The sequence below is a fragment of the Homo sapiens genome, chromosome 15, assembly GCF_000001405.40.
Source record: "Homo sapiens chromosome 15, GRCh38.p14 Primary Assembly".
In the NCBI taxonomy this organism is placed as follows: domain Eukaryota; kingdom Metazoa; phylum Chordata; class Mammalia; order Primates; family Hominidae; genus Homo; species Homo sapiens.
In genome coordinates, this window is record NC_000015.10 from 78,563,139 (window position 1) to 78,585,288 (window position 22,150).

Consider the following 22,150-nt stretch of genomic DNA (forward strand, 5'->3'; position numbering starts at 1 on the left):
GAAACAAACAAAAAAATCAAAACTAAAAAAATTAGCTGGTTGTAGGGGTGCACCCCTGTAATCCCAGCTACTTGATAGGCAGGGGAGGGAGGATCGCTTGAGTTTGAGCCCTGGAGGTTGAGGCCACAGTGAGCTATCATCACACTGCTACACACTCCAGCCTGGGCAAGAGTAAAGCCCTGTCTCTACTAGGAAAAAAAAAAAAAAAAAAAAAAAAAAAAGACATAGCCTCTAGGCTGAGAAATCCACTATCTAGTAGAGAACATAATTATGGAGAAATAGATAAAGAGAAGGCAGGTGGCATTTGAAATGAGCCTTGAAGAAAGCGTGGGTTTGGATATTCAGAAGAGGGGAGAAGGAAGGATAAATGAAGACAGGAAAGTGTAATAAAAATTCCACAATCTTCAGAGGAAAAGGTGGTGTCTGGGATGCAAGAACTGTGTAATAGTCCCTTTGGCTAAGTCTCAGAAAGTTGGTAGATAGATGCCACTTTAGGGGAACTTTGTAGGTGGTGGCTGCAGCAACAGCAGCAATTTTCATTGTCATTTGGTCAGCTAATGTCTCCTAGCAGTGTGAAGATGCCTGTTATCAGAGTCAGGTGTAGCACCATATCCAGCAACCATGAGTAATTGGCGTATCCCCCTGGAAAAACCATGTAAGATGTAGACATTATATTCTGATTATTTGTTTGGATTTTAAAATGCCCAACAAATGTCACGCTTTGCCTTTCACTTAATAGCAACAATTAATAGTGTTTTTCATAGATTATGTAAATAACCATCATTCTCATGATTATTGATATAACATCTAGGAGTTCCAATTATACTTGCAGTGGCTGCACTGACAACCATTTCATTCTAGTTTTGCCACTGACAGGTACTGTGACCTTCAGCAGTTATTCAACTCCTCTGTTTCAAATCAGTTAGCTGTAAAAGCAGAATAACATTTTAAAGTCATCCAAACACTGTTAGGATGAATTGCATAAGTGCCTGTAAGTCCCATAAATTCTTCAGAGTAAAATGTAAATTTGCAGTGAAAGGATGATAGGTACTGTCTTTCATTTCTGTGCAGAAGTGCAATTAATTACTAATCTGGTTAACATCTTGTGCATCCCTTTTCTGTGGCCCCTTTGTTTAAGTCCTGTTTAAACAGATTGGCTCCATTGGATGTAATTTACATTTTTCCAGCTGTATTTGGACCTAAGAAGAGCATCTTCACTGAATTTTGCTGTTTAGATTCTTTGCAACCAGGTTTAGTTTTTCACAGATTTACTAGTCTGGAGGGTGGAGTGAAATTTTTGCTCACAATGAGTCTTAGAGGTGTCACCTCCATAAAGCGTTCTGTGAAGAGTCAGCGGCTCCCTCTGCCACTGAAGTTTAAAGATAATTCGCCTGAATCCCTTCAGCCAAATGAAGCTTTCTAATTATGGACAGAGAGGATGAAATATAGGGTCTGGAGGGATTTGAGACGGGTTTCCAGCAGTCGGCACCAATCTCCACCAGAGGTGCTAAGTGTCTGTAGCAGATAGTCACTAATATTTACAAATGTTAATTGATGACAACACGGAGGGCGATGCCCACGTTTGAGGCGACTGCATATCATTTCCGGGGATGGCTTGAGTGAGTGTCAGAGCTGTACCTTCCCGAGTCCTCTAGTTTATCTGCCTCGGTTCCTCGCTTCCAGACGAGGAAACAGGCCCAGAGAGGAAAGTGACTTGCCCAGGGTTGTCTCGCTGGTCCACAACACAGGTCTCCTGGTGGGGACCCCTTGGCTGACACGACAGCCCCAGGAGGCAGTCAAGCTGCGACTGGTACTTCCTGGTGAGAAAGACTTGAGTGGGCAGCGGGGCCCATGGAGAGCGCTGCAGCCTGGAGCAAGTCCCCCACCACTGTGATTCTGCCCCAGCCTCCAGCTTGTTTCTTTCTGATCACAACTCGGAATTACTTTATTTACATTTTCTATCAGCTGGGAGCAATCTGTCCCTCTGCTTCCCCTTTTGGTGCTGAGCACAGAGCAGACATCAATGAATAGCTGTTATCTTAAGGTGTGCAGTGACTAGGCCAAGGACATCCGGTGGTTAGAGAAGGACGCGCCTGCGATGCCAGCCTCAAGTCTTTGCCTTCCTGGAACTCTGCTCCAGGGTCGCACCTGCCCAAAGGAAGGCCTGGAGGCGGGGGCCAGGGCGATGGGGCTGGGCCAGGCGTGGAAAAAGAGGAGCTAGGAGCAGACAGGGTTGGACCAGAGGCGGGGCGGGGTGGGGAAAGGGTTGGTGGGGATCGGAGGCGGGGCTATGAATAGACCGGACTGGGCCAAAAGGAACAAGGCGAGGATTGGGCGGGGCCAGAGGGAAATAGGGGCGGGGCTAGGCGCCGGGAGCTTCCACATGCGTCCCGAGCCCGCCAGAAGCTGCTAGGCTGAGGCTGCTGTCCCGGCGGGAGCTGTGGCGCGGAGCGGCCCCTCTGCTGCGTCTGCCCTCGTTTTGTCTCACGACTCACACTCAGTGCTCCATTCCCCAAGAGTTCGCGTTCCCCGCGCGGCGGTCGAGAGGCGGCTGCCCGCGGTCCCGCGCGGGCGCGGGGCGATGGCGGCGCGGGGGTCAGGGCCCCGCGCGCTCCGCCTGCTGCTCTTGGTCCAGCTGGTCGCGGGGCGCTGCGGTCTAGCGGGCGCGGCGGGCGGCGCGCAGAGAGGTAAGCCCGGGCTGCAGAGGGGCGGGGCGGGAGCTGGCCCGGACTCCACATCGCGGTGCCCAGGAAGCCGCCAGGCGACGGCCGCCGGAAAACCTGGTTGCGAGGGGAGGTGGGTTTTTTTCTCCTGGGGGCTTGGAGTGAGGTTTCAGTTTAAATGTCCAGATTTGCTCATTTAAATGCAGAGAAAGGGCTACTTGGGTGGGTTTTCTTTGTTGTTCCACGACCTGCATCGCTGGAGACTACGAGGCTGGCTTAGCGTATACTTCCACACAACTTTTTCAGTAAAAGATGCCACTCTTGTCCAGCAGGGCTTTCCTGTCCTGGTGGCAGCCAAGCTTCCCATTTTGTTGCCCATTTACGGGATATAGAGACTCTGGGGTTCATTCTAGGGGTTGGGACTTATCTTCCACCTCCTGCCCGCCGCCTCTTCCTCCATCCCTGTCCCCTACCCACCGCAGCATTTGAAAACCTTTCCTTTCGCCGGAGATGAAAGGTGTGTGTTGTAGCAGGCTAGGCGGCCAACTTCCCTGGCTTCGGGGCTAATCGTTTGCATCCAGAGTTCCTCACTAGCTCCTTAGAGCACAGCTTTTTTCAGCCTGCTGTTTTTCAAGAGGTTTTGGACAGGAATGGAAACAACAAAAGAAATCGCGTAGTCCTACATGTTTCAAGTGCTTGGGAAAGTTTTAGAGTCAGTTCTCTCAATACCTTGAAGAAAAACACGTTTGTGGAGCAGCTATGGTGTGATCTAAACGTAGAAAAGCTAAGCATCCGTTAAGCAAGATATGATTACAGAAGTTCACTACGTCTGTATTTCAGGTTTTATGAGTGAGTTTCTTAAATAGTGGAAATATTGCAAGAACCTTTTCTTGCCTTTCCTTTGTTAAGGTTTTTAATCTATGGCTCCTGATTTTAGGAAGTAATAAGACTAGAATAATTCATTGCAGGATGTATTGCTTAGTGTAGACCGAAGAGAAATAAGATGGAGGGTGATTTAAACAAATGAAGAAAATCCTGGGCAGAGAGAGTTAAACAGAAAGAAAGGAATGTGATTTTGGAGCCAGGCAAACCTGTATTCAAATTATGGCTCTGGTGCATCCTGACTGGACGAACTTCTCTCAGCTGTTTTCCTTCTTTAAGAAATGGCGGGCCGGGCGCGGTGGCTCACGCCTGTAATCCCAGCACTTTGGGAGGCCGAGGCGGGCAGATCACGAGGTCAGGAGATCGAGACCATCCTGGCTAACACAGTGAAACCCCGTCTCTACTAAAAATACAAAAAAATTAGCCGGGCGTGGTGGTGCGCGCCTGTAGTCCCAGCTACTCGGGAGGCTGAGGCAGGAGAATGACGTGAACCCGAGAGGCGGAGGTTACAGTGAGCCGAGATCGCGCCACTGCACTCCAGCCTGGGCAACACAGCGAGACTCCGTCTCAAAAAAAAAAAAAAAGAAAAGAAAAGAAATGGGGGTAATAATCATGCTTACCTCTCAGAGTTCTTTTGAGGATTAAATAATGCATATAAAATGCCAGGCACAGTGCCTGACACTCGAGAAAATGGTAGTTCTCTACCCCTTTTGATGAAACTGAACTTTAAAAATCTGTTTCATGTCTTTTAATATAGAACACTGTAGCCAAGCATTAAATAGTGTAAATAGCTATCTCCCTTCATGCATGGTGTTCAGTGTTATAACAAAGTGAAATCGATTAGTTCCTGCTTTCTGCCCCACTTAGTTAATATCTCTCTCATAATAACCATCTGGTTCTATTGCACTTCTGTTTCCTCCTGCTTCCACGTAAGCTCCTTAAGAACTGTGATTCTTGTTTATCTTTGTATCGCCAACACCTGCCTTAATGTAGGAGCCCAGTGAAGGTTTGCGGAAGGAAGGAGTGGAACAGTATTACCTCTCTGGATATTAGTTTCTCCATCTGGATGGTGAGGGGCCATTAAAGGATCCCCCTTCCACCTTGAAAATTATAAGATTCTGTGTGCTCTTAGAAGTGATCATCTTGAAGAACAAAGTGATACTGAATGGATGATGTAATTGCACACTTGCTCTTAACTGTTAATATGCATTTGTGTACAACTGTCGTTCCATGTGGGTGGCTGAAAGTACTGTCTGGAAATAGGAGACCTGCCACTCGCTGTCTGTGTTTCCTTGGACGTATTACTTGACCTTGCTGATTCTTTGTTTCTCTCTCTTTAAAATGAAAGGGCGGTAGTAGATGTTTTTAAGTCAACTTTAAGTTTTTTAAGTTCAAATATAATTACCTTTATTTTTACAATTTATTGTTTTCATATTCGTCTTAGGTTCTTAATAGTAACTTTTCCCTGTGGTTTTCTGTGAGCCAGTTCCCAGGTAAAGAGAATATCTAGTCAGCCCGCAGCTATTATTTGGCTGATGAACGGTCACAGAGCTGTGGAAAGTGGCTCAGGAGACAATTAAAGTATAATATATTAAAGTATAATGAACTAGTACATCAAGATAATACAAGCATTTTAAACTGACCTGTGATTGGGACAGTGATTATGGAAGTTAGATAGTCATTAACTACCTAACTAGTTATATTTCTTACTATTTCTTAGCTATGTGACATTTTAAAGCCAATGGTTATATTTCTTAGCTGTGTGACATTTTATTTTTTTAATTTTTTTTTTAAAATATTACTTTAAGTTCTGGGATACATGTGCAGAACCTGCAGGTTTGTTACATAGGTATACATGTGCCATGGTGGTTTGCTACACCTATCAACCTGTCATCTAGGTTTTAAGCCCCACATGCATTAGGTATTTGTCCTAATGCTCTCCCTCCCCTTGCCCCCAACCTCCCGACAGACCCTGATGTGTGATGTTCCCCTCCCTGTGTCCATGGATTCTCATTGTTCAACTCCCACTTATGAAAGAGAACATGCGGTGTTTGGTGTCTGTTCCTGTGTTAGTTTGCTGAGCATGATGGTTTCCAGCTTCATCCATGTCCCTGCAAAGGACATGAACTCATTCTTTTTTATGGCTGCACGCTATGTGACATTTTAAATGGCTGAACCTTAATTTTAATTACTATATGTAGTGGCTGAAAATGAAATAGGAAAATGAAATAATTCATAGAAAATGAGAGCTATGAAAGATTTTTTTCTTCTCATCTTTAGTCATTTTCATTAACATTTTCAGAAGCTAACAGAAATACACACATACTGACTGTCAGTTTTACTTTTGTTATATATATGTCCTTACGTAAACTTTATACACAATTTAATTTGCAATTTAAAATTATTTTGATTTCCAAGAAATACTAAATATGTGAACTAGACTGAGCAGCTGGAGGGTAGGATTTCATTTGTCTGTGTATTTCCTGATACACTGCAGATATACCTGCATTTATTAATGTAGCCTATGGATTGAACTCTGAGCTTTTTTTCAACCTATAATCTACAAATGAGATCTAGCAAGTAATTTTTTATAATTAGGATATGAAGTTTTAGTTCAGTAATTTCAGTACAGAACTTTTTCTTCTAATAGCATTATTTTTCTTAAAGCATTGGAATTAAATTATCAGATGATAGTTTAAGTTCACTATTAAATAAGCATGTCGACAATTAGAGTTGTTAAATATTGGAATTTTTTTTTTTTTTTTTTTGAGACGGAGTCTTGCACTGTTGCCCAGGTTGGAGTGCAGTGGTGCAATCTCGGCTCACTGCAAGCTCTGCCTCCCGGGTTCACGCCGTTCTCCTGCCTCAGCCTCCCAAGTAGCTGGGACTACAGGCACCCGCCACCACGCCTGGCTAATTTTTTGTATTTTTAGTAGAGACGGGGTTTCACCATGTTAGCCAGGATGGTCTCGATCTCCTGACCTCATGACCCGCCCGCCTCGGCGTCCCAAAGTGCTGGGATTACAGGTGTGAGCCACCGTGCCCGGCCTGGAATTGTTTTTGAAAGAAGTTTAGAATTTGTTTCTTTAAACATCTGTTCCACAGAACAGCATGGGTATAGTGTTTTTTTTGTTTTTGTTTTTGTTTTTTTTCTTGAGACAGAGTCTCACTCTGTCGCCCAGGCTGGAGTGCAGTGGCATGATCTTGTCTCACTGCAGCCTCTGCCTCTGGGTTCAAGTGATTCTCCTGCCTCAGCCTCCCAAGTAGCTGGGATTACAGGCATGTGCCACCATGCCTGGCTAATTTTTGTATTTTTAGTAGAGATGGGGTTTCTCCATTTTGGCCAGGCTGGTCTTGAAAACTCCTGACCTCAGGTGATCCGCCTGCCTCGGCCTCCCAAAGTGTTGGGATTACAGGCGTGAGCCACCGCGCCTGGCCTGGGTATAGTTTTATAATGACAATATGATAGAAAGGATTATTTAAAATCATCCTTTTCTGTTCTATGATGAAAAATGTTAATTTAGATGTTTTGTTCTCCTTTGAGGAAACATGATATTGTTTGTCCTACTGTTTATTTATTTATTATTTTTATTGAGGCAGAGTCTTGCTCTGTCACCTAGGCTGGAGTGCAGTGGCGTGATCTTGGCTCACTGACACCTCTGGCTCCTGGGTCCAAATGATTCTCGTGCCTCAGCCTCCCAAGTAGCTGAAATTACAGGCATGTGCCACCAATCCCGGCTATTTTTTTTTTTTTTTTTTTTTTTTTAGTAAAGACAGGGTTTCACCATGTTGGCCAGGCTGGTCTTGAACTCCTGGCCTCGAATGATCCGCCCGCCTTGGCTTCGCAAAGTGCTGGGATTACAGGTGTGAGCCACCACGCCCGGCCCCTCCTACTGTGTTTAATTCAGTGACTTCATGCTCTTCTCTTCCAAAGTGTGATTATAAAATATAGCCTTTTACCAGTAAAAATAGGAGTTAAATATGAATATTTGAATTCTGACAAAAAAGGTGATATGAACTTTTAGGTTTTATTTTTATCTGGTTTTATTTTCATTTTTATTTTACATTCAACTGTATGTATGGAATTAGGCAAAACTCTTTCCTCTAGGTCAGGATTTCTCAACCTCTGAAATTTTGTACTGGGTTATTCTTTGTTGTCAGAGGGGGGCGTCCTGTGCCTTGTAGGATGTTTAGCAGCATACTGGTCTCTAGCCATGAGATGCCAGTAGCACCCACTGAAAAATGTCTCCAGACATTGTCAGATGTGCCCTGGGGGCAAAATTGTTCTTCACATTTGCTACCCCTTGAGAACCACTTCTCTAGGTCTTGTTGACCAGGGCTTCTGAAACTTAGATGTACACAGGAATTCCCTCAGAACGCAGATGCTGATCCAGTAGGTCAGAAGCAGGGCCTGAGACTCTGCATTTCTAACAAGCTCCCAGGTGATGTGAATACTGTTGGTCAGTGTATCACAATTAAGTAGCAAGGTTGTAGAAAAGTCCACATTCATACCAACTGGGTGAACTCTCAAGGGAAGCCGATGAAAGTAATTATGGAAATAGTGAATTTACAATGAATTGTAGCCCAAACAATGTAAGGCTAATAGAAGCTAAGAAAACAAGCATTATCCTGCTGTCCTAACAAAGCAGCTGTCTTCACTTTTCCATATTTTCTTCCAGTCCTTAGTATTCATTCATAACTCGACATCTCTAAGGGGGAAATTTGCAAGAGTCTTTTCAAGGTCATACAGGCAACCTCATGCACCATTAGGTGTTTTATTCCATAATATTGTAAATATACTAGCTCATAATACATATTTATAGCCTGTTGAGAGATTTATAGCCCCAAATTAAGATAATGAACTCTGCATTTACTTGATCTGATGATGCTCTGCCTTTTTTTTTTTTTTTTTTTGAAGTGTACAAGTTGTCTCGTCTCCTCGAGAACTATTGACTGCACCTAAATTAATACCACCTAAGGTCATTCATTTTCTTACTGCGAGTGTTCTGAGAGTCAGGGTAAGATATTAAGTTTACTAAGGCATAGCAGTTACAGTGTAACTTTATCCTATAATTCTGTGATAAAAATCAATATAAAATATAATGAAAATCCTGGAGCGAAAAAAATCCCTCTATATTTTATCTGTAATACTTAAAATAATGATTGGTAAGCATTCTTGTTTGTCACATTGAAAATGTTGGATATAATACACATTTTCCCTCGTTTACAAAATGGTTACGTTCACTGCTTTATCTTGCTGTTGCTTAAAATAGCCCTCCTAGGACTGCTGCAAAGAGGATTTTTTTTTCAAAAGAGTACAAGTCACTTTTTGCTAACTTATAAAAAGATGCAAGGAGACTTCAGGGGTAGATTAACTGCTCCAGGAATGCCTTGATTATGAATTGGGGAGGTATAATATACATCACTCTTCAAATCTTTTTAGATATATTATCTTATTTCCTTCTTATGGCAGCCTGTGAAGAAGAAAAGGAAGATATTGGCAGCACCTAGCAAGATTTAAAATGTGCGCCCCCTTGACTCAGCAGTTTTACTTCTGAGAATCATTGCTATAGAAATCTTTGCATCAGTATGGAAAAAGAGATTTGTTAATTACAGCATTTTTTCCCATTGTAACATTATTAGAAATAACCAAAAACTGAAGACTATAAATGCCAATCAGTGGTGAAAACTTAAATAAAGTCTAATGCACTCATAATGATCACTTTGCAGCTTGTGAAGGAAGACTGGAGATAGTTGGACATCTACTGGTATATAGTTTATATAGTTGTGTTTTTTATTTTTTATTTTATTTTTTTTGAGACGGAGTTTTGCTCTTGTTGCCCAGGCTGGAGTTCAGTGGCGTGATCTCGGCTCACTGCAACCTCTGCCTCCCGGGTTCAAGTGATTCTCCTGCCTCAGCCTCCCAAGTAGCTGGGATTACAGGCATGCACCACCACGCCTGGCTAATTTTGTATTTTTAGTAGAGACGGAGTTTCTCCATGTTGGTCATACTGGTCTCGAACTCCCGACCTCAAGTGATCCCCCACCTCAGCCTCCCAAAGTGCTGGGATTACAGGCGTGAACCACCACACCTGGCTGGTATATAGTATTGAATGAAAAAAAGTTGCAGAACTTAGAGGAAAACATGTTTCTGTGTGTGAGTGAACATGCATGTAATTTAAAATATCTACACGTCAAACTTAATGGTTACCCTTGGAAGGAAGGCGAAGGAGAGGAGGAGGGAGAATTCTTACTCTTTATGAGCTTCTGGATTTGAATTTTGACAGTGACCACACATTCCTTTTGCAATTATAGCATCATTTTGAGAAAAAACAAAATAAATCTGGGTCCTAGTTCTACTTCTGCTGCTTATTAGCTACTAGTGTCACAACAGTGGTTTGCAAGAAGGGTCAGTTTTGCTCCCCCTCACCAACATTTGGCAATGTCTGGAGACATGATTGGTTGTCATGTGGGGCGGTGGTATGTCTAGTGGGTAGAAGCCAGGGATGCCGCTAAACATACAGGGCACAGGACAGCCCTCCACAACAGGGAATTGTCCAGCCCAAAATGTCCGTAGTGCCAAGTTGAGAAATCCTGTGTTAGACTCCAGAGCTGCAGTGCTGTTGGAATATGCAGGTGATGCACTGTGCAGTGGCAGGGGCGCCATTCTCACTGTGGGGTGTACTTTGCATAGCCATAGAATTATAAGTATGATATAATAAGGTAAATAAATATGCAAGTTTTTACCCCAGGAAGACAGGCACCAGGTCTTCGTTTTCTGCTCTCCCTCTGGCACCTGGCACAGAGGTTGGCACAGTAAGCAGCTAGTTGGCATTTGTTGAATTAACGAATTGAACAAGATATCACGTTAGGCTCTAGTGTGGCCAAGTTGTAGCAGATGCTAAAGATTTAAGAATAATTTGTGGCAGAAACTTTAAATTATAGTTAATGTCTGTTTTTATCTGCAGGTTGGCAAAAGACTGCTAATATCCACATTTAGTTGCTGAACATGTTGGTTGACTTTTTTCCAAATCATTACCTTTTGATAAGAAAATCATGATTCTTCATGGAAAAATGCCAGAGCAAAGCACTATCAAATGTTCCTAGAATTTTTTTTTTTTTTTTGAGACGGAGTTTCACTCTGTCACCCAGTCTGGAGTGCAGTGGCACAATCTCGGCTCACTGCAACCTCCACCTCCCAGGTTCAAGTGATTCTTCTTCTTCTGCCTCAGCCTCCTGAGTAGCTGGGACTACAGGCGTGCACCACCACGCCTGGCTAATTTTTTTTTTTTTTTTTTTTTTTGTATTTTTAGTAGAGACAGGGTTTCACCATGTTGGCCAGGATGGTCTCAAACTCCTAACCTCGTGATCCGCCCACCTCGGCCTCCCAAAGTGCTGGGATTACAGGCGTGAGCCACCGTGCCCGGCCTAGAATTGGTTTTTTAAATCCTCAGGGGGAGGCCAAGGCGGGCGGATCACCTGAGGTCGGGAGTTCAAAACCAGCCTGACCAACATGGAGAAACCCCGTCTCTACTAAAAATACAAAATTATCCGGGCGTGGTGGCACATGCCTGTAGTCCCAGCTACTCAGGAGGCTGAGGCAGGAGAATTGCTTGAACCTGGGAGGTGGAGGTTGCAGTGAGCCGAGATCGCACCAATGCACTCCAGCCTGGCCAACAGGAGCTAAACGCTGTCTCAAAAAAAAAAAAAAAAAATCCTCAGGTATCTTTTTGGCTACATACTATATTTAGTGAAGAAGGTTTTTTTAAAAAAATCTTAAACTACCTAGACACTACCTAACATAGTAAGATAATGTACTTTATTTCATTTGATTCAGACGAGAGTGAAGCAGCTAAGCAGAGGTTCTCCTTTTTATTAATGTTTTTTAATGGAAAAATAATGTTCACAAGAATGGTCCAAAGTAATGAATCAAAAAGTCGTTGCCATACCCATTTAACAATTATTGACATATTGCTAACAGATATCCTTATTTTATATAGGCTAGAAAATTGTGGGCCAGACACGGTGGCTGACACCTGTAATCCCAGCACTTTGGGAGGCCGAGACAGGTGGATTTCTTGAGCTCAGGAGTTCAAGACCAGCCTGAGCAACATGGCAAAACCCTGTCTCTACAAAAAAATTAGCTGGGCATGGTGGCGAGTGCCTGTTGTCCCAGCTACTCGGGAGGTTGAGGCAGGAGGATTGCTTGAGCACAGGAGATCGAGGCTGCAGTGAGCCAAGATCGTGCCACTGTACTTCAGCTTGGGCGACCAAGTGAGACCCTGTCTTAAAAAAAAAAAAAAAAGGAAAGGAAAAAAATTGTGGCTTATGGATGGAGGTTAACAGCTTATTAGTGGTGCCAAGTATTCAAATTAAGGTTTTCAGCTTTGCAGTTCTGTGTCCTTTCCTTTTCACCATACTAAAACTAAGGAGCAAGGTTACATTTCTTTGAAAATAAATGTGGTTTCACCAAATGATTTGACTGTGATTTTTTTAAATGTCATTCTCCCAGTTCCTCAAACTTTAGGCAATGAATGATAGTAAGAGTTAAAATTGAATTTGTAAAACCAAAATGTAAATATATAAAAGTGTTAGTGACATTACTGTATACACATTTATACCTTTGTTAGGTATTCAACTTAGTTTTTCTCTTAGCAGCTGTACTTTTAACTACTTTAGAAGAATTATCCCATTTAATTTTTTTTTGTTCTTATCCTATTTTTAGTGTGCTTCACTGCTTGGTTTCCTTTGTTTTTCTGAGATATGTGGTTTATATGCTATTAGCAGGTTGTATTATAATTATTATTATTTGGTTTCAAGAAGAGACTTGAGGAAAGCTTTATAGTGACCCATTATTGCACTGTGTTAAGAGTGCCCAATGCCACAAGCATATTCTTCCTTTGTATTTTTGCAAAGTTCCATTGCCTGGGACTGTCTGGAGACAGTCTTTGTTGGTCTATCAGTTACCATTACTTTAGCAATCATTTATGGAAGAATAAGAACGACCCTGTGCTGGCACTTATATCTACACTGTTAGCTAATCCTTACAATGACCTCATAAGGGAGGTACTTTTTTAATACCTGTGTCACAGATGAAGAAAAATCATATCCAAAGTTGAGTAACTTATCTATCTTTTTGGTTATAGCCAATCCTATTAGGTGTGAAGTGCTGTTTCATTGTGGTATTGATTTGTGTTTTCCTGATGGCTAAAGGTGTTGAGCATCTTTTCATATGCTTACTGGCCTTTCTTTGGAGAAATGTCTAAGTTAATTTAGATCTCTTGCCCATTTAAAAATTGGATTATTGAATCTTTTTATTATTCATTTATAATAGTTCTTTATAGATTTTAGATACAAGTCCCCTATCAGATACATGATTTGCAAATATTTTCTCTGGGTTGTATATCCTTTTGATGTAAGGGATCTTTTGAAGTCAAGTTTTTTGTTTTGTTTGTTTGTTTTTTTTTTTGTTGTTGTTTTTGAGTTAGAGTCTCTCTCTGTCTCCCTGACTGGAGTGCAGTGGCACAGTCTTGGCTCACTGCAACCTCTGCCTCCCAGGTTCAATAGATCCTCCTACCTCAGCCTCCCTAGTAGCTGGGACCACAGGCGCGTGCTACACGCCCAGCTCATTATTGTGTTTTTAGTAGAGACAGGGTTTCTCCATGTTGGCCAGGCTGGTCTCGAACTCCTGGCCTCAAGTGATCCATTTGCCTCGGCCTCCCAAAGTGCTGGGATTACAGGCGTGAGCCACCGCGCCTGGCCCAAGTCAACTATTTTTAAGACAAGGAAGGGAAGAAAAATTAAAATGTAATAATGTAATAAGTAAGGCCGGGCGTGGTGGATCTTGTAGCACTTTGGGAGATTAAGGTGGGAGGATTGCTTGAGCCCAAGAGTTCAAGACCAGCCTGAGCTACAAAAAGAGACCCTGTCTCTACAAAAAATAAATAAATTAGCTGGGTGTGGTGGAACGCACCTGTAGTTCCAGCTCTGTGGGAGCTTGAGATAGGAGGGAGGCTGAGGTGGGAGGATTGCTTGAGTCCAGGAGTTCCAGGCTGCAGTGAGCCGTGATGGCGCCATTGCACTCCAGTCTGGGTGACAGGGCGAGACCCAGTCTCAAAAAAAAAAAAAAACAAAAAAAGCAATTACTGTCATCAGCCTATATGTAGTGCTATAGAGATGCCAAAAAAGTGTTCATTTTGAATAGGATGAGCAAATATTAACTATTTAAAACAACTTCTAAAAAGAATTTTTCCATTTGATTCAGTTTATTTAGAATTTACCTTACATATAGTGTCAGTCTTTCCTACTGGATAGTAAATGTCGATGTTGTCTGTTTTGTTTACCAGTGTGTTCCCAGTGCCTGTCTGATAAATGTTTGTTAAATGAATGAATAAGTAAACATCAATGTGGGCTAGAGCTATCGGGGGTGTGGCATTCATTAAGTTAATCTAGAAAGTTGTCACAAGATGGAAGATGTTAGGGTGATGAGAGCATGAAGCCAAGGTGCCCCTCAGAGCCCTGCGGTTTATGAACTCTGTAGCAGCAACCCTTCTTTTCATACGTATATCCTGATTTGTAAAATGAGGGGATGCATTGGATTGTCTCCTTTTTAACATGCTGAGGTTTGTGAACAGTGGAAACTTAAAACATTTACAGCCAGCTAAAAAAGCATGACTGCTAAGAAGAATTTAAGTGCACTATCAAGGTTTTATGCTAAGATACCTTTGACATTTGCACTGGACACTGCTGTAAAGTGTCCTAAGAAAATGGTATTTCTAGTATGGGATGTATTACGAAGATATTCACAAAGCAGTATCTTGAAGATTCTCATTAGGTAGAATGTTGGGATTACTATTTTATTTATACCCTGTCTACTTTCTTTCAAAGAAGATTTGAGATAGCGACTCAAGCTAGTTTTTCCCCCACTCAGGCAAAGGTTCCTTTAGATGCTATTGACAGACATTTTAGGCTGGGTGCAGTGACTCACACCTGTAATCTCAGCACTTTGGGAGGCAGAGGCTAGCAGATCGCTTGAGCTCAGGAGTTCAAGACCAGTCTGGGCAACATGGTGAAACCCCATCTCTACCAAAAATACAAAACATTAGCCAGGTGTGGTGCACGCCTGTGGTCCCAGTTACTCAGGAGGCTGAGGTGGGAGGATCGCTTGAGTCCAGGAGGTTGAGGCTGCAGTGAGCCAAGATTGCACCATTGCACTCCAGACTGAGTGACAGAGACCCTGTCTCAAAAAAAAAAAAAAAGACATTTTATTTATTAATACTTTTATCTTTTAACCCTTAAATTTTTGGTATTTCAGGGACTATAGGAGGATTAGAAGAGGAGAAATGGTTCAATAATGCTATTTTAACTTGAAGCTCTAAAATTAATGGCTTTTAAACATTAAGAATGACTCTAGTGTATAATTTTCTAAATTAATCTAAATATCTTCAATGCTGTGCATTTCAGCATAAGGTGACTTTTACAGGCGTCACCACACAAACTCCATAGTATTTGTAGATTAAACTAAGTATCTTAAACTAGTTACTGCCTGGCGCAGTGGCTCACGCCTGTAATCCCAGCACTTTGGGAGGCCGAGGCGGGTGGATCACCTAAGGTCAGGAGTTCAAGACCAGCCTGACCAGTAGGGTGAAACCCCATCTCTACTAAAAATACAAAAATTAGCCAGGCGTGGTGGCGTGTGCCTGTGGTCCCTGCTGTTCGGGAGGCTGAGACAGAGAATCACTTGAACCTGGGAGGTGGAGGTTGCAGTGAGCCGAGATCACACCACTGCACTCCAGCCTGGGTGACAGAGTGAGACTCCGTCTCAAGATAAATAAATAAAAAATAAATAATTTTTTAAAATTAAACTAGTTATTCAGGGAAGCAGGACACAAACTCTTGAGGAGTAGGTTATTTATGAAAAAGAGAACCAGGAAATAGGTTTCCTCCAGCTAGAGTACCTGGATATTCTTTCATATCTCTGTATGGAAAACATGGTCTATCATCATAAAGAGAAGATTTTGTGAAAGTGCTAATTTCTCTCCAACCATTTCTTTTAGGTTGGAGAAGAACAATCACTTGCTACTGTAATCCTTATGTGTATATTTGCTGATTAATAAGCCAGTGACATTTTTGTTTCAAGTAAAAGTGGTTTTTTCGTAATATCATTAGTCTTAAGTAAAAGTCATGCTTGAATTTTTATACATTTCACATTTCCTTAAGTGATCCCAGGCCAGACAACAGTGAAAACTCATTTCTTCAGAGATGCTTATTTGAGCTCTGTAGTAGCATAAGCATAACTGTGATCCCCAAATCTAACCAGTCTTTGGCCATAGTATCCAAAACATTTTATATTTTGACTTTTTTTTTTTTTTTAACAACTTAGGTCCTTAAATAGATTTTTTTGAAGAAACAAGTTTCTTTTTAGTATATTTAATGGCACATGTTTCCTGATTTTTGAACGGGAATTCCTCATCTTCATTTTACATTGGGCCCTGTGAATTATTTAGCCAACCATGTTCACATTCTCACATATACATACATTTATTTATTTATTATTTGTTTGTTTGTTTGTTTGTTTGTTTGTTTTTTGAGACAGAGTCTCGCTCTGTTGGCCACGCTGGAGTGCAGTGGCACAATCTCGGCTCACTGCAACCTCTGTCTCCCGGGCTCAAGCAGTTCTCCTGCCTCAGCCTCCCAAGTAGCTGGGATTACAGGCGTGTGCCACCATGCCTGACTAATTTTTGTATTTTTTGTAGAGACAGGGTTTCACCATGTTGGCCAGGTTCGTCTCGAACTCCTTACCTCAGGTAATCTGTCCGCCTCAGCTTCCCAAAGTGCTGGGATTACAGACGTGAGCCACCGCCTATTTATTTTTTTTACTGATCTTGAAATAAACCTTTCTTGATTCTTTATCCTCAGTATCCCTATATCAGCATAACTTTTGGAAAGAGATCATTCCTGTCTTTGCACTCTGTCTTAAACATACTGCAGTTCATCTCTCTTCTCTTCCCATAGATGGCTTTTGTTAGATTCACCATTGACCTCACTGTTGCTAATCCAACACTCAGTTCTCAGCTGCCTCTCCATGTCTCATGAGTAGCATCAGTAGATTGGGAGGCTCAACCCTTCTTGCTGCATTTTCTTCATTTAGCTTCCAGGACAGCATGCTATCTGCTATCTTCGAGTTCTTCCTTCCTTATTCCCTAAAAAGCAGTTTTATACAAATGTATAGTTTTATACAAATATAGTAGCAAAGTATGTCAAAGCTAAATCAATCATTCAATATTTATATATTTTCATATTAAGATTATGACAGGCCAGGCACAGTGGCTCACAGCTGTGATCCCAGCACTATGGGAGGCTGAGGCGGGCAGATTGCTGAAGGTCAGAAGTTCAAGACCAGTCTGGCCAACATGGTGGAACCCCGTCTCTACTAAAAATACAAAAATTAGCCAGGCGTGGTGGTGGATACCTGTAGTCTCAGCTACTCGGGAGGCTGAGGTGGAGAATTGCTTGAATCCCAGTGGCAGAGGTTGCAATGAGCCGAGATTGCACCACTGCACTTCCAGCCTGGGAGACCAGGCAGGACTCCGTCTCAAAAAAAAAAAAAAAAAAAAAAAGATTATGCAAATTAAAGCAATTTTAACATTTATAATTGATAAATGAGCTTTGCTTTAGTATATCTGTTTTCTAGGTTTGGAATTTCAAGATAACTCCTGCCACCCTGGCAATTTAAAAGCTTTTATTATTTAGATTTGAAACTATTCTGTATTGAGTACTGAGTGTTTCTTAAGGAGCTCAGCATATTCCAATAGTCAGTCTGATTTAACTGAGACGTATCTGAACCAGAGTGTCCCTTATTCTATCAGAAATACTTACATTAATATTTCATTTTAAAAGCTGCATTAATAATAGCCTAAATTGTAGTTTGGTTCATTAATAATCTGAACTTTTTTTTTCCTTTTTTTTTTTGAGACAGAGTCTCTCTCCATGGCCCAGGTTGGAGTGCAGTGGCCCGATCTTGGCTCACTGCAACCTTTGCCTCCTGGGTTTGAACTTTTGTTTGAAAGTACAGGTATCTGGTGGGAGAGAAGCGAGTACATTAACTTTTAAAAATTTGTTATACAGGATTATCTGAACCTTCTTCTATTGCAAAACATGAAGATAGTTTGCTTAAGGATTTATTTCAAGACTACGAAAGATGGGTTCGTCCTGTGGAACACCTGAATGACAAAATAAAAATAAAATTTGGACTTGCAATATCTCAATTGGTGGATGTGGTAGGTGTGCATATCCTTCTATAGTCAATTTCCCACAGATTTAGTGAGAGCCTGGTGTGTGCCCAGGCACTGTGCTAGGCACCAAGGATTACAAAGGTGATTGAAGCAGTCCTTTGCCTGAAGGAACTCACCAGGGAAAAGTAGTGATTGTGTCACATACATGATAACACACTGTGTTTATATATTTTATAGTTTAGAAACTGTTTATCTCAATTTGGTAATTATAAGTCTATCTTTAACAAATTCAAAGATCTAAAACATTGTGTATTCCTTAAATGTGTTAAAAATAGTTTCAAAAAGTTAGCTTGAAAGGAGGGAAAAGAAAATAAATTTTTAAGTTTAAGAGAAAAAGTCCAAAAATAGAGTGATAGATTCTTAGGAACTAAAAGTATCACAAGAGATCATTATCTTGGGCTCACACTTAAAACATTTCAGAAATTTTTCTATATGACGTTCATTAGTAGAATAAGTTCCCTTGATAAATTGTACTTATTGTCAAGAGATCCTATCTATTTAAACTAAAACATTCATGCTAATTTTTAAACTAGTTTCTTCTTGTTCTGAACATGTAAATCAATAATTATTTCCCTGTTGTGTTCCCAAAATAACCAAGTATATGTATATTTATATATATGTATGTTTTAAAATAACATTTATAGATGTGCTTTATGTTCTGATTACAGAAGCAATGCGTGATTTTTGTAGAGAATTTGGAAAGTGCAAAAAATACAAATGAGAAAATAAAAAGTGACTGTAATTCTACTACCCGGAGATGACTAATGTTAATAATTAGTTGTGTTTCTTGCCAGTCTGTCTTTGTGTATATGTTACAAAATTGGAATAATATTTTAGAAATAATTTTGATTACTGCTTTTTCTCTACTATGACATGATGAACATTTTCTTATGTCATTACATACTCTCCAAATATAATTTTTAATAGTTACATATTTCATCTATAATTTAAGCATTCTCCCATTTTGAACAGAAGCTTGTTTCCAATTTTTCTTATTATAATTAACAATGATGAATATATTTGTACACAAATGCCTGAACGTCTCCTTTCCTTAAGAAAGGCAGTTAGTGAACCAAAGGATATACCTTTTTCAAAGTCTATTGCTATGTCATCTAATTGCTTCCAGAAAGGTTAATGAATATATGTGGACTGTGTGTGCTCAGCCCTTAGCTAGTCAATATGGGGAGATTTTAAATGAAAATAGGAAAGTGGAAAAGTAAGGTGGTAGCCAGGTGTGGTGGTTCATGCCTGTTATCCCAGCACTTTGGGAGGCCAAGGTGGGTGGATCACTTGAGGTCAGGAGTTCCAGACCAGCCTGGCCAATATAGCAAAACCTCATTTCTATCAAAAATACAAAAATTAGCTGGGCGGTGGTCCGTGCCTGTAATCCCAGCTACTCAGGAGGCTGAGACAGGAGAATCGTTTGAACCCTGGGAAGCAGAGGTTGCAGTGAGTTGAGATTGCACCACTGCACTCCAGCCTGGGCAACAGAGCAAGACTCTGTCTCAAAAAAAAAAAGAAAAGAAAAGAAAAAGTAAGGTGGGTGGGGCTTGCTCTCAAAGATCTTTCTGGTTGAGGTCATTGACACACAAATGGTGTAGAAAACTGTAGCACTAAATCATGATGCCAGAAAGAGCTGGGAATGCAGATCTTAATGAATGACCTTATCAAAGAAGGTAGGGTAGATGAGGTGGCACCCGAGCTGGCTTTGTAGGAAGTGTAGGGTTTCAACGTGGCAGAGAGGAAAAGTATTTAAGTACAAAGGAACAATATAGTTGTAGGTATATAAGTGATAACTGAGCCTTCCTGTACAGCTGTTTAGATCAAAAGATGAATGTTGGGAGCCCTGGCATACAGGAGTGGTCTGACTGGACGGTGGAGAAGGTGAGGAGAATCCCTGCATGCCACTTCGTCTTTACTCCTGCCATGTTTACTTCTTGGGAGAATTTTCCTACTGGCACTAGCCATTTATTATTCAAGGCCAAATTCATCTGTCAGACCCTTTGTGAAATCTTTCCAGAATCCATAAGACAGCCTCTCCTGTGTTCAAAATTTTTTTTTTTTTGCACTTTAATATGGTGCCCATTACACTCACTGGTACTCATGTGCTCTGGCATTTCATCTTCAAAGCTGGGTGAACTTTATTCCTTGTATCTGTCCCAGAACCTAGCACGGTATCTGGTACATAGTAAATGCTGAATGAGTGAGAGACCTGATAGGCAACAGACACGATCAAAGCAGTACTTTCAGAAGATCAGTAAAACAGTAATGTACATGGTTTTGAGGAGTGAAAGAGAGACTAGAAAATGAAAGGCAAGTTAGAAGACCACATACAAGAAGGAACAGGACTTGACCACTGAATATGGAGGGAGGCATCACATTTTGAAGCCTAGGTGATTAGAGTGGAAGAGTAACACATTTGAAAAATACTGTCGGCCGGGCACAGTGGCTCACGCCTGTAATCCCAGCACTTTGGGAGGCCGAGGCAGGTAGATCACAAGGTCAGGAGATTGAGACCATCCTGGCTAACACGGTGAAACCCCGTCTCTACTAAAAAATACAAAAAAATTAGCTGGGCATGGTGGCGGGCACCTGTAGTCCCAGCTACTCGGGAGGCCGAGGCAGGAGAATGGTGTGAACCTGGGAGGCGGAGCTTGCAGTGAGCCGAGATTGCGCCACTGCACTCCAGCCTGGGCGACAGAGCGAGACTCTGTCTCAAAAAAAAAAAAAAAGAAAAATACTCTTCATTGTTACGGGAGTAGGGCAGAGAAGATGATGAGTTTGATTGTGGTTTGAGGTGTTAATTCCAAAGAAAATGTTCACTAGCTTTTGGGAAGTCAAGACTGGCTCTGAGATGACAGATGAGAACAAGGATGTCCATCTGGAATTGCTGGCCTGGAGGAGACTGTTGAAAACTTTGATGAGTTTTCTTTGTTTTTGTTTTTGCCCTTGCCTCTCACCTCCCACTTTGATGAGTTTTTAAAGTTAGTGGGAAGAGCAGGAACCTGATCCTTGAGGAACATTTGTAGAAAGTGGTAGAAGGAAGGGGTAACCAAGCAGAGAAGTTGGGGAAGGGTTGCTTCTTGAGAGAAGAGCCCAAAAAATGAAATGTCAGTGACTACGAAAGCAGAAGAGGACTGCAGTCAGGGGAGATGAAGGGTGAGGGCTCTGGAGATGGAGAATGGCAAATTCACTGAATTGTGTCTGAGATGTTTTAGGTTCCTTTTATCGCTAAGCTCCCCGGAATCATATTTGGTGGATTCCTGCCTTATTTCCCACATATTCTGTCTTTTTTTTGTTTTTAAATCTCATTTTTGGCTTGTTTGTTTTGATTTTAAAGATAAAATCTTTTTATAAATACGATTACCCCTGAAACTCTTCTGCTATATTTACACATGTAGTTAACATTTTTCCATTTGTTAGTTTAGGTTTCCTCCTGGGGATCATCGTACATTTATCTGTCCTCAGTTCATTTTTGTTGCATCCTCCATTGTGCTGAGCACATTATAGATGCTTGGGAGGTATTTGAGGTCACATTAAATTAGGCGGTATCCCTTATGGTAATGGCTAACCACCACATCTTAGGGGCCATTTGTGAACTTATGGATTATTCTTTTATCTGTGTTATTGTTGAAAGTGCTAAGTATTGACTGGGAGCCCAATTTATGTGTGTGTGCACATTTTTCTAGGGAAAGGCCCATAAGTTTCATTAGATTCTCAAAGATGACCTATTGCTATATACTATCATCATGGGTAATATGTTTACCAGAACTTTCCTAATTATAAATGCCTCTGTTTAGAACTTTTGCCTAACAGGCATATTCAGATACAGGGATCAGCAGTTATTCTGGGTGGTGTGCGACTAGGGTGGATAGCAGAGTTGGTGGCTTTAGATTTAGGAAATTTGAGTTCTAAAATCAGTGCTACCAGTAATCGGTGCTGTGACTTTAAGCAAGTCACCTCTCTGGGCCAGTTTCTGTCGCCTAGGCTGGAGTGCAGTGACATGATCTTGGCTCACTACAACCTCTGCCTTCCAGATTCAAGCGGTTCTCCCACCTCAGCCTCCTGAGTAGCTGGGACTACAGGTGTGCCACCATGCCCGGCTACTTTTTGTATTTTTAGTAGAGACCAGGTTTCATCATATTGGCCAGTCTGGTCTCGAACTCCTGACCTCGTGATCCACCCGTCTTGGCCTCCCAAGTGCTGGGATTACAGGTGTGAGCCACCGTGCCCAGCCAGCTCTAGTGTTTTAATCAAGGAAAATTGCTCTTTGGAACTGCAGTGTAAGAGAGATGGCCGTGCTGCATTTCC

The 22,150-nt window shown here is 41.6% G+C and overlaps 1 protein-coding gene across 7 annotated transcripts in view, besides 2 other annotated features; it reads left to right on the forward strand.

Moving 5' to 3' along the window:
* Positions 1,580-1,769: an enhancer, noted in NCBI's record as "active region_9920". NCBI's record gives its function as "activates an Ori minimal core promoter by ATAC-STARR-seq in GM12878 lymphoblastoid cells {active_cell/tissue: GM12878}" and the evidence as "EXISTENCE:reporter gene assay evidence [ECO:0000049][PMID:35858748]".
* CHRNA5 (cholinergic receptor nicotinic alpha 5 subunit) overlaps positions 2,382-22,150 on the forward strand; it is a 29,750-nt gene continuing 9,981 nt past the window's right edge. For 6 of the 7 annotated variants that reach the window (NM_000745.4, NM_001395171.1, NM_001395173.1 and 3 more), the window contains exons 1-2: positions 2,382-2,687; positions 17,673-17,824. In NM_000745.4, the coding sequence (NP_000736.2) occupies positions 2,582-2,687; positions 17,673-17,824 (258 nt within the window). In that variant the 5' untranslated portion in view covers positions 2,382-2,581. The remainder of the gene's footprint in view (positions 2,688-17,672; positions 17,825-22,150) is intronic. The other variant, NM_001395175.1, reaches the window with a different exon arrangement.
* Positions 2,580-2,669: a silencer, noted in NCBI's record as "silent region_6713". NCBI's record gives its function as "represses an Ori minimal core promoter by ATAC-STARR-seq in GM12878 lymphoblastoid cells {active_cell/tissue: GM12878}" and the evidence as "EXISTENCE:reporter gene assay evidence [ECO:0000049][PMID:35858748]".